Raw genomic sequence first — 15,362 nt, 5'->3', positions numbered from 1 at the left:
AACTCTTTTTCTAGATGAGACTGAAAAAGAGGTCAAACCAGTTGACAGTGTTAAATGTCCATCTCCTGTTCTAAATACTCCGTGGATACCATTTCAGAACTGTTGCTACAATTTCATAATAACAAAGAATAGGCATATGGCAACAACACAGGATGAAGTTCATACTAAATGCCAGAAACTGAGTAAGTATTATATTAGTCCATTCTCATGTTGCTATAAGGACATACCCGAGGCTAGGTAATTTATAAAGAAAAAGAGGTTTAATGGCCTCACAGTTCCACATGGCTGGGGAGGCCTCACAATCATGGCAGAAGGCAAAGGAGAAGCAAAGACATGTTTACATGGCAGCAGGCAAGAGAGCATGTGCAGGGAAACTGCCCTTTGTAAAACCATCAGATCTCATAAGACTTACTATCACGAGAACAGCACGGGAAAAACCCACCCTCAAGATTCAATTACCTCCCACCAGGTCCCTCCCATGACATGTGGGGATTATGGGAGCTACAATTCAACATGGGATTTGGATGGGGAAACAGCCAAACCATATCAAGTATATTATACTGTCATTACTTATTGTATTTTGCTAATTAAAAAAATATTTCCTGTGTTATAAATATTTCTAATTAGCACTAGTAACTAGATGACAAAAATATTCATCTCCTAATATCTACATTATCAGTGACAAAGTATTAAAATTTGTGTTAGTTAAAATGGAAAGTATAGGCATAACTCCTTTCTTTACTCTTCCATTCAAGAACTAGTCTATGTTTGTAAGGAAGGCAGGTTCTCCTTTAAAAGGAAAAGAAATGGGCTAGGCACACTGGCTCATGCCTGTAATCCTAGTTCTTTGGAAGGCTGAAGTGGGAGGATTGTTTGATGCCAACCATTCAAGACCAGCCTGGGCAACATAGTGAGACTTTCTGTCTGCAAAAAATTAAAAGCATGGTGGCACATGCCTGTAATTCTAGCTACTTGGGAGGCTAAGGAGGGAGGATCTTTGAACCCAAGAGGTTGAAGGTGCAGTGAGCTGTGATTGAACCACCTGCACTCCAGCCTGGATAACAGGTGACCCTATCTCCAAAAAAAAAAAAAAAAAGGAAGGGGGAAAGAAATGACACACAAGAGAGCAGAGAACTGGACATTAAATCAAGCTAGGCTATGGGGAAGTGAAAATAAGTTAGTTGGAGCAGTCAAAAGCTTAGATACACCACAAGGCAGCAGCTAAGCTTAAAGAAGTGCACATTTCACATTTTCAGCTCTCAAGAGTCTTCAGATAATTCCTATGAGATCCACTAAGGATTTGTGACTTCCAAATGATGGAACTGTTGGAACCAATGGAACAATGAACTTAGTGAAAGTTGCTATAGAAAATATCAAACCAGTATTTCCCAAAGCATGCTCCGTATAACATCAGTCTTGAGAGATGGTCTGCAAAAAGTCCTTAGAATAAGGTTGAAAAAAATAACCAACAAAAAAGAAAAAGGTTGAGAAACACTAGACACCATAGCTTCCTGTTGGACATTAACAAATGTACATTAACATATGCCTTAAGAAATACTGGCATAAACTAGTTTAATTTTGTTTAAACCAATGTTTGCAAACTTTTTTTAAAATCCATGTAGATCTTTTCTGAAACTTCCTTGTTAATTTTGTGAGGAACACCCTTTGGGAAATATTAAGCCTTTTTAACCCTCATACTGAAAACTAAGGAAAAGGAAGATCTGTCGTATAGCCCAGCAGTCCCCAACCTTTTTGGCACTGACAGGGAGGGGTGGATGGTTTCAGGATGAAACTGTTCCACCTCAGATCATCAGACCTTAGTTAGATTCTCATAAGGAGTATGTAAGCTATATCCCTCGCATGCATAGTTCACAAGAGGGTTTGCACTCCTCTGTCAATCTAATGCCACAGTGCTCTAACAGGAGGCAGAGCTCAAGCGGTGATGCTCGCTTGCCTGCTGCTCACCTCCTGCTGTATGGCCCGGTTCCTAACAGGCCCGGTTCCTAACAGGCCTGGTTCCTAACAGTACCAGTGTGTGGCCCGGGGGTTGGGAACCCCTGTTATAGTTCATCTAAGAGGTTCTAATTATTATAGCGTAATCTTTGACAGTATATCATTACTATGGGTGGATTTATACCAACTGAAAAATTACCTTTAAATAGGGGAAAGTGAAGTGAATCAATGTTTTAAATTCTCTACTCAGCTACTAGTTTTCTATTATACCATAAGACCAAATTTAACATCAAAACATTTGAAAACTCCTTAACCTATTAATTTTAGTACAATGGGATAATTTTATTTTACATATGTTTCTAATTGTCCAATATTGTTTATATTTTGAAGTATATTAAACTGAGAACTAAAATGTTTTAAACTTATCAAATAGAAGTGTACTAGATAAGTAATTGTTAAAATTATTGATTATTTTTTATTCAACAGATCCAAAATCACATATTCTGAGTATTCGAGATGAAAAGGAGAATAACTTTGTTCTTGAGCAACTGCTGTACTTCAATTATATGGCTTCATGGGTCATGTTAGGAATAACTTATAGAAGTAAGTTGTAAATCTGCCAACTTTCTCTATTTGTTTTTGTACTTCATTATAACATAATTATCAAGCCATAGTTCTTCAAAGTACATGTCTATCAATACGTGAAAGTATAATTATGTACTTAGCATAACTTACATAAATACCAAGACAGTTTTTATGTCTCTGCTCTGCCTTTATCATCGAGTTTAAAGTTAAATGGCGGAAAATAATTTTCTGAATTAGTTTGTTCCCGCACTGCTAAAAAGAACTACCCGAACCTGGGTAATTTATGAAGAAAAGAGCTTTAATTGAGTCACGGTTCCACAGGCTTTACAGAAAGCATGGCTGGGCAGCCTCAGGAAACTTACAATCATGTCAGAGGCGAATGGGAAACAAGCAGGTTTTACTATGGTGGAGCAGGAGAGAGAGTGAAGGAGGAGGTGCTACACACTTTTGAACAACCAGAACTCATTAGAACTCACTCACTATCACGAGAACAGCAAGGGGGAAAATCACCTCCCACCAGGCCCCTCCTCCAAGACTGAAGATCATAATTCAACATGAGATTTGGATGAGGACACAGAGCCAAACCATATCAATTTTCTTTTTTCACTCTTTTATGTAGCAACTCAAGACTAACTAAAAATGATCACCATCCCATATAAATCTTCAATACTTATTTTTTGTTTCCACTAACTATGTGAGATGAGCAAGAACAGAATCACTCTATTAGTGTTGCAGTTTTGGGTTTATAACCCTGGCTTAGTTTATACTGGCCCACATATGATAAGCATTAGAAAAATGAGACACATGGCCAGGTGTAGCGTCCCACGCCTGTAATCCCAGTACTTTGGGAGGCCAAGGCGGGTGGATCACCAGAGGTCAGGAGTTTGAGACCAGCCTGGCCAACATGGTGAAACCCTGTCTCTACTAAAAATACAAAAATTAGCCAGGCATGGTGACGTGTGCCTAGTTACTTGGGAAGCTGAGGCAGGAGAATCACTTGAACCCGGGAGGCAGAGGTTGCGGTGAGCCAAGATGGTGCCACTGCACTCCAGCCAGGGCAACAGAGACTCAAGACTCCATCTCAAAAAAAAAAAAAAAAGAATAGAAAAATGAGACACATGGTCTGACAATGGGCTCGAATATTTGGAATTTGGACTAAATACCACCAATCCAAAATATGATTGATAACAAAATTTTTTAAAACAGTCTAATATAGAGGAAACAAGGTCTTGTTTCTAAATGCTTCTGAGCATTTAGAAAGATGCTCAGAAATGTCCTGAAAATCATAGACATTTTGGAATTAGGAAAACCTTTCCACGGCCATAGAGCATCAAAAGCATACATTTACTCTAAAGAGGGTTTGATAAGGGGCACAGGACAATGATAACCAGGGGTAGGGAAGGAAAAGAAGCTAAATTACTCAAATCTGCCTGTTTTAAAAATAGGCTTCTCCTTTGCTCTCTAACCCATCTGTTTCTTGGGGTTACCAATGTTTTCCTGAAATGTTTATGGTTGGCAGAGGGGTTAATGGAAATTAAACTATCAAGCAATAGATAAAGACTTGGTTTACCAAGTGAGGATAAGTTCATCATAGTAGGACTTAGTTGGCCCAAACCTTTTCTCTGATGACACTTAACTACCCTTGAATTAAAATGGAGAAAAACTAGCTGGAAAATTCTGAGGCTTCACCTGAAAGTGACTGAAGAAACAATGGTCTTGTATTGAGCCATAGAGACCACACCCAGGACAGAGAGATTGAAATTGTACCCTTTGGTATACTTTGTAGTTATATTATCAGAAGCAACTGAAAATCTATTATAAATTCTGAAAAAGCATTTTTAGATCAGAAGACTCCCTTATTGTTTTACCTTCTTTCATAAAATGTTTGAGTAATAAAATTTCTATTAAAATATACAGGCATATGAGGGACATATAGAAAGACATTTCAGGCAAATGGCACATTTGATTTGAATCTCATTCTTACTGACTTAATTTACATCTGTAAGTTACTGTTTTGGGTTACTTTGATATACTTATATTTAATTTTTTGGCCCCTATACAAGGAATTCTGTTTTTAAAACAGCTTTGACTTTTCAATAGCAGGGCCATGAATAGAAATCACTGTAAGTCACTGTTTTTGGTTACGTTGATATAGAATATTTAATTGTATTTGGCACCTACCCAAAGAAGTTTGTTTTTTTAAACATTTTTGATTTTTCAATAGCAGGGCCATGAATAGAAATTACTATGAGAAGCCACAGTATGTCAACTGAGAGATACATTAAGCCAAGTGAAAAAAGTGACTTTTTCTTAAAACAACTTTAGAAATCTACCATTGCACATCATATTGGTCAGAAAATTGATAACTTTGAAGTTTAGGAGAAGGGAAGAGGAACTGGAAGGCATGAGATGATATAAAGCAGCAAACAAGAACCAAATCGTGTGTGCAGTGCTTCTAATGTGTCATTGCTGCAGGCAGATGTTTAGGGGTCTTGCCTTGGGAGATGGTAATCAATGAAGACCAGAAATAACCAGGACAACATTGGGTGTGTGTAGGTAGTGATGGCATCAATCTTTATACCAATTTATAATTGTAATATGCCTAGCACCTTTTTTTAAAGCTTTATTGCAATCATCACTACCCCAAAAAGAAACACAATACCCACTAGTATTCCCTCCCTGTCTCCTAGTCCTCAGCAACCACTGATCTACTTTCTGTCTCTACAGATTGCCTGAATGTAAAATTCTGGACATTTTACATAAATGAAATCATACCATGTGTGCTTTTTGCGTGTGACTGGCTTTTTCCATTAAGCATAAAGATTTTAAGGTTTATCCACATTGTAGCATGTATCAGTACGTTATTCCTTTTTATGACTGAATAAAATTCCATTCTATGGATATAATACATTTTATTTATCCATGTATCACTTGATGGACATTTAGGTAAAACAACCTAAATTTTAAACCATTTTTAATTATTATGTATAATGCTTCTCTGAACATTCACGTACAAGTTTTTGCATGGACATATGTTTCCATTTCTCTTGGGTAAACCCCTGGGAATAGAATTGCTGCATCTTTTGTTTAACCCTTTGAAGAACTACCAGGTTGTTTTCCAAACCAGCTATACCATTTTCCATTCCCGGTATATGAGAGTACTGATTTCTCCGTATCGATGCCAACATTTGTGTGTTTTTCATTATAGCCATCTAAGTGAGTGTGGAATGATATCTCACTGGGATTTTTATTTCATTTCCCTAATGGCTAATGATATTAAGCATCTTTTCATGTGCTTATTGAATATTTGTATATCACCTTTGGGGAAATCCCTATTCAGATTTTTTGCTCATGTTTTAAATTGAGTCTTTTTATTGTCGAGGGGTAAGAATTCTTTATATATTCTGGATATAAATACTTTCCAGTATTTATATATAAATATATAAATAATTTCCAAATTATTTTAAAATTTATATAAAATATAAAATTTTATATTTCTGGATATAAATAATTTCCAAATATTTTCTCCCATGACTTTACTTATGCCACAAAAGTGTTTTTCTTTTTTTTTCTTCTTTTTTTATTGTACTTTAAGTTCTGGGGTACATGTGTAGAACGTGCAGTTTTGTTACATAGGTATACACATGCCATGGTGGTTTGATGCACCCATCAACCCGTCACCTACGTTAGGTATTTCTCCTAATGTTATCCCTCCCCTAGCCCCCTACCCCCCGACAGGCCCAGTGTGTGATGTTCCACTCCCTGTGTCCATGTGTTCTCATTGTTCAACTCCCACTTATGAGTGAGAACATGCGGTGTTTGGTTTTCTGTTCCTGTGTTAATTTGCTGAGATTGATGGTTTCTAGCTTCATCCATGTCCCTGCAAAGGACAGGAACTCATCCTTTTTTATGGCTGCATAGTATTCTATGGTATCTATGTGCCACATTTTCTTTATCCAGTTTATCATTGATGGACATTTGGGTTGGTTCCAAGTCTTTGCTATTGGAATAGTGCCACAATAAACATACGTGTGCATACATCTTTATAGTGGAATGATTTGTAATCCTTTGAGTATATACCCAGTAATGGGATTGCTGGGTCAAATGATATTTCTAGTTCTAGATCCTTAAGGAATTGCCATACTGTCTTCCACAATGGTTGAACTAATTTACAGTCCCACCAACAGTGTAAAAGTGTTCCTATTTCTCCACATCCTCTCCAGCACCTGTTGTTCCTGACTTTTTAATGATTGTCATTCTAACTGGCATGAGATGGTATCTCATTGTGGTTTTGATTTGCATTTCTCTAATGACGAGTGATGATGAGCATTTTTTCATGTGTCTGTTGGCTGTATAAATGTCTTCTCTTGAGAAGTGTCTGTTCATATCCTTTGCCCAATTTTGATGGGGTTGTTTGTTTTTTTCTTGTAAATTTGTTGAAGTTTCTTGTAGATTCTGGATATTAGCCCTTTGTCAAATGGATAGACTGCAAAAATTTTCTCTCATTTTGTATGTTGCCTGTTGACTCTGATGATAGTTTCTTTTGCTATGCAGAAGCTCTTTAGTTTAATTAGATCCCATTTGTCAATTTTGGCTTTTGTTGCCGTTGCTTTTGGTGTTTTAGACATGAAGTCTTTGCCCATGCCTATGTCCTGGATGGTATTGCCCAGGTTTCCTTCTAGGATTTTTATGGTCATAGGTCTTACATTTAAGTCTTTGATCCATCTTGAGTTTATTTTTGTATAAGGTGTGAGGAAGGGGGGTCCAGTTTCAGTTTTCTGCATATGGCTAGCCAGTTTTCCCAACACCATTTATTAAATAGGGAATATTTTACCCAGTGCTTGTTTGTGTCAGATTTGTCAAAGATCAGATGGTTGTAGATGTGTGGTGTTATTTCTGAGGCCTCTGTTCTGTTCCATTGGTCTATATCTCTGTTTTGGTACCAGTACCATGATGTTTTGGTTACTGTAGCCTCATAGTATAGTTTGAAGTCAGGTAGCATGATGCCTCCATCTTTGTTCTTCTTGTCCAGGATTGTCTTGGCTATCCGGGCTCTTTTTTGGTTCCATATGAAGTTTAAAGTAGTTTTTTCCAGTTCTGTGAAGAAAGTCAGTGGTAGCTTCATGGGGATAGCATTGAATCTATAAATTACTTTGGGCAGTATGGCCATTTTCACGATATTGATTCTACCTATCCATGAGCATGGAATGTTTTTCCATTTGTTTGTGTCCTCTTTTATTTCCTTGAGCAGTGGTTTGTAGTTCTCCTTGAAGAGGTCCTTCACATCCCAGGTAAGTTGTATTCCTAGGTATTTTATTCTCTTTGTAACAGTTGTGAATGGGAGTTCATTCATGATTTGGCTCTCTATTTGTCTGTTATTGGTGTACAGGAATGCTTGTGATTTTTGCACATTGATTTTGTATCTTGAGACTTTGCTGAGGTTCCTTATCAGCTTAAGGAGAATTTGGGCTGAGGTGATGGGGCTTTCTAAATATACAATCATGTCATCTGCAAACAGAGACAATTTGACTTCCCCTCTTCCCATTTGAATGCCCTTCATTTCTTTCTCTTGCCAGATTGCCCTGGCCAGAACTTCCAATACTATGTTGAACAGGAGAGGTGAGAGAGGGCATCCTTATCTTGTGCCAGTTTTCAAAGGGAATGCTTCCAGTTTTTGCCCATTCAGTATGATACTGGCTGTGGGTTTATCATGAATAGCTCTTATTATTTTGAGATACGTTCCATCAATACCTAGTTTGAGAGTTTTTAGCATGAAGGGGTGTTGAATTTTGTCGAAGGCCTTTTCTGCAACTATTGAGATAATCATGTAATTTTTGTCATTGGTTCTGTTTATGTGATGGATTATGTTTATTGATTTGCATATGTTGAACCAGTCTTTCATCCCAGATATGAAGCCGACTTGATCCTGGTGGATAAACTTTTTGATGTGCTGCTGGATTCGGTTTGCCAGTATTTTCTTGAGGATTTTTGCATCGATGTTCATCAGAGATATTGGCCTGAAATTTTCTTTTTTTGTTGTGTTTCTGCCAGGTTTTGGTATCAGGATGATGCTGGCCTCATAAAATGAGTGAAGGAGGAGTCCCTCTTTTTCTATTGTTTGGAATAGTTTCAGAAGGAATGTTACCAGCTCCTCTTTGTACCTCTGGTAGAATTCAGCTGTGAATCTGTCTGGTCCTGGACTTTTTTCGGTTGGTAGGCTATTAATTACTGCCTAAATTTCAGAACTTGTTATTGGCTTATTCAGGGATTCAGCTTCTTCCTGGTTTAGACTTGGGAGGGTGTATGTGTCCAGGAATTTATCCATTTCTTCTAGATTTTCTAGTTTATCTGCATAGAGGTGTTTATAGTATTCTCTGATGGTAGTTTGTATTTCTGTGGGATCAGTGGTGGTATCCCCTATATCATTTTTTATTGTGTCTATTTGATTCTTATCTCTTTTCTTCTTTATTAGTCTGGCTAGTGGTCTATCTATTTTATTCATCTTTTCAAAAACCAGCTCCTGGATTCACTGATTTTTTGAAGGTTGTTTTTTTGTCTCTATCGCCTTCAGTTCTGCTCTGACGTTAGTTATTTCTTGTCTTCTGCTAGCTTTTGAATTTGTTTGCTGTTGCTTCTCTACTTCTTTTAACTTTGATGTTAGGGTGTTAATTTTAGATCTTTCCTGCTTTCTCTTGTGGGCATTTAGTGCTATAAATTTCCCCCTACACACTGCTTTAAATGTGTCCCAAAGATTCTGATATGTTGTGTCTTTGTTCTCATTGGTTTCAAAGAACATCTTTATTTCTGCCTTCATTTCGTTATTTACCCAGTGTCATTCAGGAGCAGGTTGTTCAGTTTCCATGTAGTTGTGCGGTTTTGAGTGAGTTTCTTAATCCTGAGTTCTAATTTGATTGCACTGTGGTATGAGAGACTTATGATTTCCATTCTTTTGCTTTTGCTTAGGAGTGTTTTACTTTCAATTATGTGGTCAATTTTAGAATAAGTGCGATGAGGTGCTGAGAAGAATGTATATTCTATTGATTTGGGCTGGAGAGTTCTGTAGATGGCTATTAGGTCCACTTGGTCCAGAGCTGAGTTCAAGTCCTGAATATCCTTGTTAATTTTCTGTCTCGTTGATCTAATATTGACAGTGGGGTGTTAAAGTCTCCCACTATTATTGTGCAGGAGCCTAAGTCTCTTTGTAGGTCTCTATGAACTTGCTTTGTGAATCTGGGTGCTCCTGTATTGGGTGCATATATGTTTTGGATAGTTAACTCTTCTTGCTGCATTGATCCCTCTACCATTATGTAATGGCCTTCTTTGTCTCTTTTGATCTTTGTTAGTTTAAAGTCTGTTTTATCAGAGATTAGGATTGCAACTTCTGCTTTTTTTTTGTTTTGTTTTCCATTTGCTTGGTAAATATTCCTCCATCCCTTTATTTTGAGCCTATTTGTGTCTTTGCACATGAGGTGGGTCTCCTGAACCCATCTCATCTGAACAGCACATTGATGGGTCTTGACTCTTTATCCAATTTGCCAGTCGTGTGTTTTAATTGGGGGCATTTAGCCCCTTTACATTTAAGGTTAATATTGTTATGTGTGAATTTGATCCTGTCATTATGATGCTAGCTGATTGTTTTGCATGTTAGTTGATGCAGTTTCTTCATAGTGTGAATGTTCTTTACAGTTTGGTATGTTTTGCAGTGGCTGGTACCGGTTTTTCCTTTCCATGTTTAGTGCTTCCTTCAGGAGCTCTTGTAAGGCAGGCTTGGTGGTGACAAAATCTCTCAGCACTTGCCTGTCTGTCAAGGATTTTATTTCTCCTTTGCTTATGAAGCTTAGTTTGGCTGGATATGAAATTCTGGGTTGAAAATTCTTTTCTTTAGGAATGTTGAATATTGGCTCCCACTCTCTTCTGGCTTGTAAAGTTTCTGCAGGGAGATCTACTATTAGTCTGATGGGCTTCCCTTTGTGGGTAACCTGACCTTTCTCTCTGGCTGTTCTTAACATTTTTTCCTTCATTTCAACCTTGGTAAATTTGATGATTATGTGTTTTGGGGTTGCTCCTCTCGAGGAGTATCTTTGGGTTGTTCTCTGTGTCTTCTGAATTTCAGTGTTGGCCTGTCTTGCTAGGTTGGTGAAGTTCTCCCAGATAATATCCTGAAGTGTGTTTTCCAACTTGGTTTCATTCTCCTCATCACTTTCAGGTACACCAGTCAAACGTAGATTTGGTCTTTTCACATAGTCCCATATTTCTTGGAGGCTTTGTTCATTCCTTTTTATTCTTTTTTCTTTAATCGTGTCTTCTCTCTTTATTTCATTAAGTTGATCTTCAATCCCTGATATCCTTTCTTCCGCTTGATCAATTCAGCTATTGATACTTGTGTATGCTTCACGAAGTTCTCATGCTGTGTTTTTCAGCTCCATCAGGTCACTAATGTTCTTCTCTACACTGGGTATTCTAGTTAGCAGTTCCTCTAACCTTTTTTCAAGGTTCTTAGCTTCCTTGCATTGGGTTAGAACATGCTCCTTTAGCTCGGAGCAGTTTGTAATTACCCACCTTCTGAAGCCCACTTCTGTCAATTCATCAAACTCTTTCTCCATCCAGTTTTGTTCGCTAGCTGGTGAAGAGTTGTGATCCTTTGGAGGAGAAGAAGTGTTCTGGTTTTTGGAATTTTCAGCCTTTTTGCACTGGTTTCTCCCCATCTTTGTGGATTTATCTACCTTTGGTCTTTGATGTTGGTGACCTTCAGATGGGGTCTTTGAGTGGACATGCTATTCTTTTCTGTTTTTTAGTTTTCCTTCTAACAGGCCCCTCTGCTGCTGGTCTGCTGGAGTTTGCTGGATGTCTACCCGACTCTGTTTGCCTAGTTATCACCCACGGAGGCTGCAGAACAGCAAAGATTGCTGCCTGTTCTTTCCTCTGGAAGCTTCTTCCCAGAGGGGCACCTGCCTGATGCCAGCCAGAGCTCTCCTGTATGAAATGTCTGTCGGCACCTACTGGGAGATGTCTCCCAGTCAGAATACCTGGGGGTCAGAGACCCACTTGAGGAGGCAGTCTGACCCTTAGCAGAGCTCGAACACTGTGCTGGGAGGTCCGCTGCTCTCTTCAGAGCCATCAGGCAGGGATGTTTAACTCTGCTATAAGTCCCTGACTGTGGCTGCTGCCCTTTTTTCAGAGATGCCCTGCCCAGAGAGGAGAAATAGGGCCATCTGGCCACAGCAACCTTGCTGAGCTGCAGTGGGCTCCACCCAGTTCAAACTTCCCAGCAGCTTTGTTTACACTGGGAGCGTAAAACTGCCTACTCGAGCCTCAGCAATGGCGGATGCCACTCCCCCGACCAAGCTCTAGCGTCCCAGGTCAATCTCAGACTGCTGCTATGCTGGCAGCGAGAATTTCAAGCCAGTAGATCTTAGTTTCCTGGGCTCCATAGGGGTGGGACCCACCTAGCCAGACCACTTGGCTCCCTGGCTTCAGCACCCCTTTCCAGGGGAGTGAACAGTTCTGTCTCACCGGCATTCCAGGCACCACTTGGGTATGGGGAAAAAAGAACTCCTGCAGCTAGTTTGGTGTCTGCCCAAATGGCTGCCCAGTTTTGTCCTTGAAACCCAGGGCCCTGGTGGGGTAGGCACCAGAGGGAATCTCCTCGTTTGCAGGTTGCAAAGACCCTGGGACAAGTGCACTATCTGTGCCAGAGTTCCTCAGGCTCAGTCCCTCATGGCTTCCCTTGGATAGGGGAGAAAATTCCCCGACCCCTTGCATTTCACAGGTGAGGCAATGCCCCACCCTGCTTCAGCTCGCCCTCTGTGGGCTGCACCCACTGTCCAACCAGTCCCATTGAGATGAACCCGGTACCTCAGTTGGAAATGCAGAAATCACCTGCCTTCTGCATCAATCTTGCTTGGAGCTGCACACTGGAGTTGTTCCTATTTGGCCATCTTGCCAGCAATCCATCACAAAAGTGTTTTTCTTTTGTCATTTGTGCATATGTAAGAAGGCTTTGCTTACCCCAGGGTTATGAAGACTTACTCCTATGTTTTCTTTCTTTTCTTTTCTTTTTTTTTTTTTGAGACAGACTTTTGCTCTTGTCACCGAAGCTGAAGTGGTGCAGTGGCATGATCTTGGCTCACTGCTACCTCTGCCTCCTAGGTTCAAGCAGTTCTCCAGCCTCAGCCTTCTGAGTACCTGGTATTACAGACAACCGCCACCACGCCCAGCTAATTTTTGTATTTTTAGTAGAGATGGGGTTTTACCATGTTGGTCAGGCTGGTCTCGAACTCCTGACCTCAGGTGATCTGCCCACCTCAGCCTCCCAAAGTGCTGTGATTACAGGGGTGAGCCACCATGCCTGGCCTTCCATGTTTTCTTCTAAAGATTTTATAGCTGTAGCGCTTATATTTATGTCTGTGATCTACTTTAATTTTTGTGTGTGGTGAAAGAAAGGGGTCCAACTTCATTTTTTTTTTTTTTTTACATGTGGATATCCAGTTTAGAAGACTATTCTTTCCACACTGAATTGTCTTGGCATCCTTCTTAAAAATCAATTGACTGGCCAGGCACGGTGGCTCATGCCTATAATCGCAGCAATTTGGGAGGCCAAGGCGGATGGATTATGAGATCAGGAGTTCAAGACCTGCCTGGCCAAGAGGGTGAAACCCCATCTCTACTAAAATATACAAAAGTTAGCCAGCCGCGGTGGTGGGCACCTGTAATCCCTGCTACTCGGGAGGCTGAGGCAGAGAATTGCTTGAACCCAGGAGGTGGAGGTTGCAGTGAGCTGAGATCGTGCCACTGCACTCCAGCCTGGGTGACAGAGTGAGACTGTGTCTCAAAGAAAAAAAATATTAATTGACCATAAGTATGCACAACTGTGAACAGTTTATGTCCAGAGAAGAGATTTCTGTGGTGACTTTTATAACTTATCAATCATGTTTTAAATAAATAAAATAGTTATGTTCATTTCCATGCAATTAAACGTATATGTAAGAGAAAATAATATTTTTTTATTTCAATAGGTTTTTGGGGAACAGGTGGTGGTTGGTTACATAGATAAGTTCTTTAGTGTTGACTTCTGAGATTTTGGTGCACCCATCACACGAGCAGTGTACACTGTACCTAGTGTGTAATCTTTTATCCCTCATCCCCTCCCACTCTTCCCCCCGAGTTCCCAGAGTCTATTGTATCATTTTATGCCTTTGCATCCTCATAGCTTAGCTCCCACTTGGTGAGAACACACAATGTTTGGTTTTCCATTCCTGAGTTACTTCACTTAGAATAATGATCTCCATTTCCATTCAGGTTGCTGCGAATGCCATTATTTCATTCCTTTTTATGGCTGAGTAGTATTCCATGGTACATATATACCACATTACCACATTTTCTTTGTTCACTTGTTGATTGATGGGCATTTGGGCTGGTTCCATATTTTTGCTATTGTGAATTGTGCTGCTATAAACATGCATGTGCAAGTATCTTTTTCATATAATGACTTCAAGAAAAGAATATTTGATGACAAAAATGAAATGTTATTACTGAAGGATGGTGGAATTATAGGTCAATATTTATAGTTTGTATTTATATTCAAATTAAAAATGAGCATGATTTACTGTTATAATCAGAAAATATCTTAAAGGGTTATACATAATCATACAACCTTTTAGAAGGTTGGGAAAAGAGAAAATTAGTCAAGTTTGAAATCTTAACTGTATAAGTGTAATTCAAGTCTTGATTTAATCTCTAAGCATAGGAAAAAATGTTTCTTCTCTAGATAAGTCTCTTATGTGGTTTGATAAGACCCCACTGTCATATACACATTGGAGAGCAGGAAGACCAACTATAAAAAATGAGAAGTTTTTGGCTGGTTTAAGTACTGACGGCTTCTGGGATATTCAAACCTTTAAAGTTATTGAAGAAGCAGTTTATTTTCACCAGCACAGCATTCTTGCTTGTAAAATTGAAATGGGTAAGTATAGTAAAATATAGAGTTTTCTTTCACTCCAGGGAAAGAATATAAGGCTATTAGTTCCACCAGTGGGAATCATACAATCAAATGCTTCCTCTGTATTCAGTCCTGTGCGAGGTGTTACAGAGGTTATCGAGGAAGGAAAAGATACGGGCCCTGCTGTCAAGGTTTTGACCCTAAGGAGTAAAATGTAGTTGTGGAGACAGCATTAAATTCCTTATCATTGTTTAATGTAAATTGGTCTTAGATTAATTGATACAGGCTTAAATTGTGGGGAAGTCAAAACCGATACATTGGAAAGGGGAATAACAAAAAAAAAAGGAAAGGCTTCAAGAAGAGGTGAAACTTGGTTGGGGTTTGAAAAATGGATAGGGTTTATATAAATAAGAAAGTGTTTGGGGAACGAGTTTTAACATTCCGTGCAAAGTGAATGTCTCTCCACCTTGCTTAATCTTTAAATAAATCTATTTTTAAATATATGTTAGTTTTAATTTTTTCACAGCTTAAAAACTGTTAATTATTACCACTGTGCCCTAAAACTGTCATTACTCCCACTGTGCCCAAAGCTCCCTGCTCACTGGGAGCCCGTAAAGGTGGAGTGCTGGCTAGTTGGCTCACTTACAGCGCCGCAGTCACTTCCCAAGACCGTGTCCACCAGCAACCTCCAGGGATTCCTTATTCTAACCTACTTTGAGTGCATGTAAACTTTTGAGACATTTTAGAAACTTAGTCTCTATCCCCAGTTTCTAGGCCTTCTCCCAGTTCCCTGTTTTTCCCCATTCTTGCTCAGCAAAGCATCTTTTTCTCAATCAAGCTGGTCTCTTCATTGTCCCAGGCACAGTGTATGCCCATCCTCATACTT

The 15,362-nt window shown here is 39.3% G+C and overlaps 2 protein-coding genes across 3 annotated transcripts in view; both read left to right on the top strand.

The window, feature by feature from the left end:
- Positions 1-15,362, top strand: part of LY75-CD302 (LY75-CD302 readthrough) — a 136,129-nt gene that overhangs the window by 70,531 nt on the left and 50,236 nt on the right. For both annotated transcript variants that reach the window (NM_001198760.1, NM_001198759.1), the window contains exons 27-29: positions 15-182; positions 2,440-2,556; positions 14,306-14,500. In NM_001198760.1, the coding sequence (NP_001185689.1) occupies positions 15-182; positions 2,440-2,556; positions 14,306-14,500 (480 nt within the window). The remainder of the gene's footprint in view (positions 1-14; positions 183-2,439; positions 2,557-14,305; positions 14,501-15,362) is intronic.
- LY75 (lymphocyte antigen 75) overlaps positions 1-15,362 on the top strand; it is a 101,402-nt gene that overhangs the window by 70,531 nt on the left and 15,509 nt on the right. The window contains exons 27-29 of the mRNA NM_002349.4: positions 15-182; positions 2,440-2,556; positions 14,306-14,500. Coding sequence (NP_002340.2) covers positions 15-182; positions 2,440-2,556; positions 14,306-14,500 — 480 coding nt within the window. The remainder of the gene's footprint in view (positions 1-14; positions 183-2,439; positions 2,557-14,305; positions 14,501-15,362) is intronic.

This window comes from Homo sapiens, chromosome 2 (genome assembly GCF_000001405.40).
Source record: "Homo sapiens chromosome 2, GRCh38.p14 Primary Assembly".
In the NCBI taxonomy this organism is placed as follows: Eukaryota; Metazoa; Chordata; class Mammalia; order Primates; family Hominidae; genus Homo; species Homo sapiens.
This window is presented reverse-complemented; position numbering and strand designations above follow the sequence as displayed.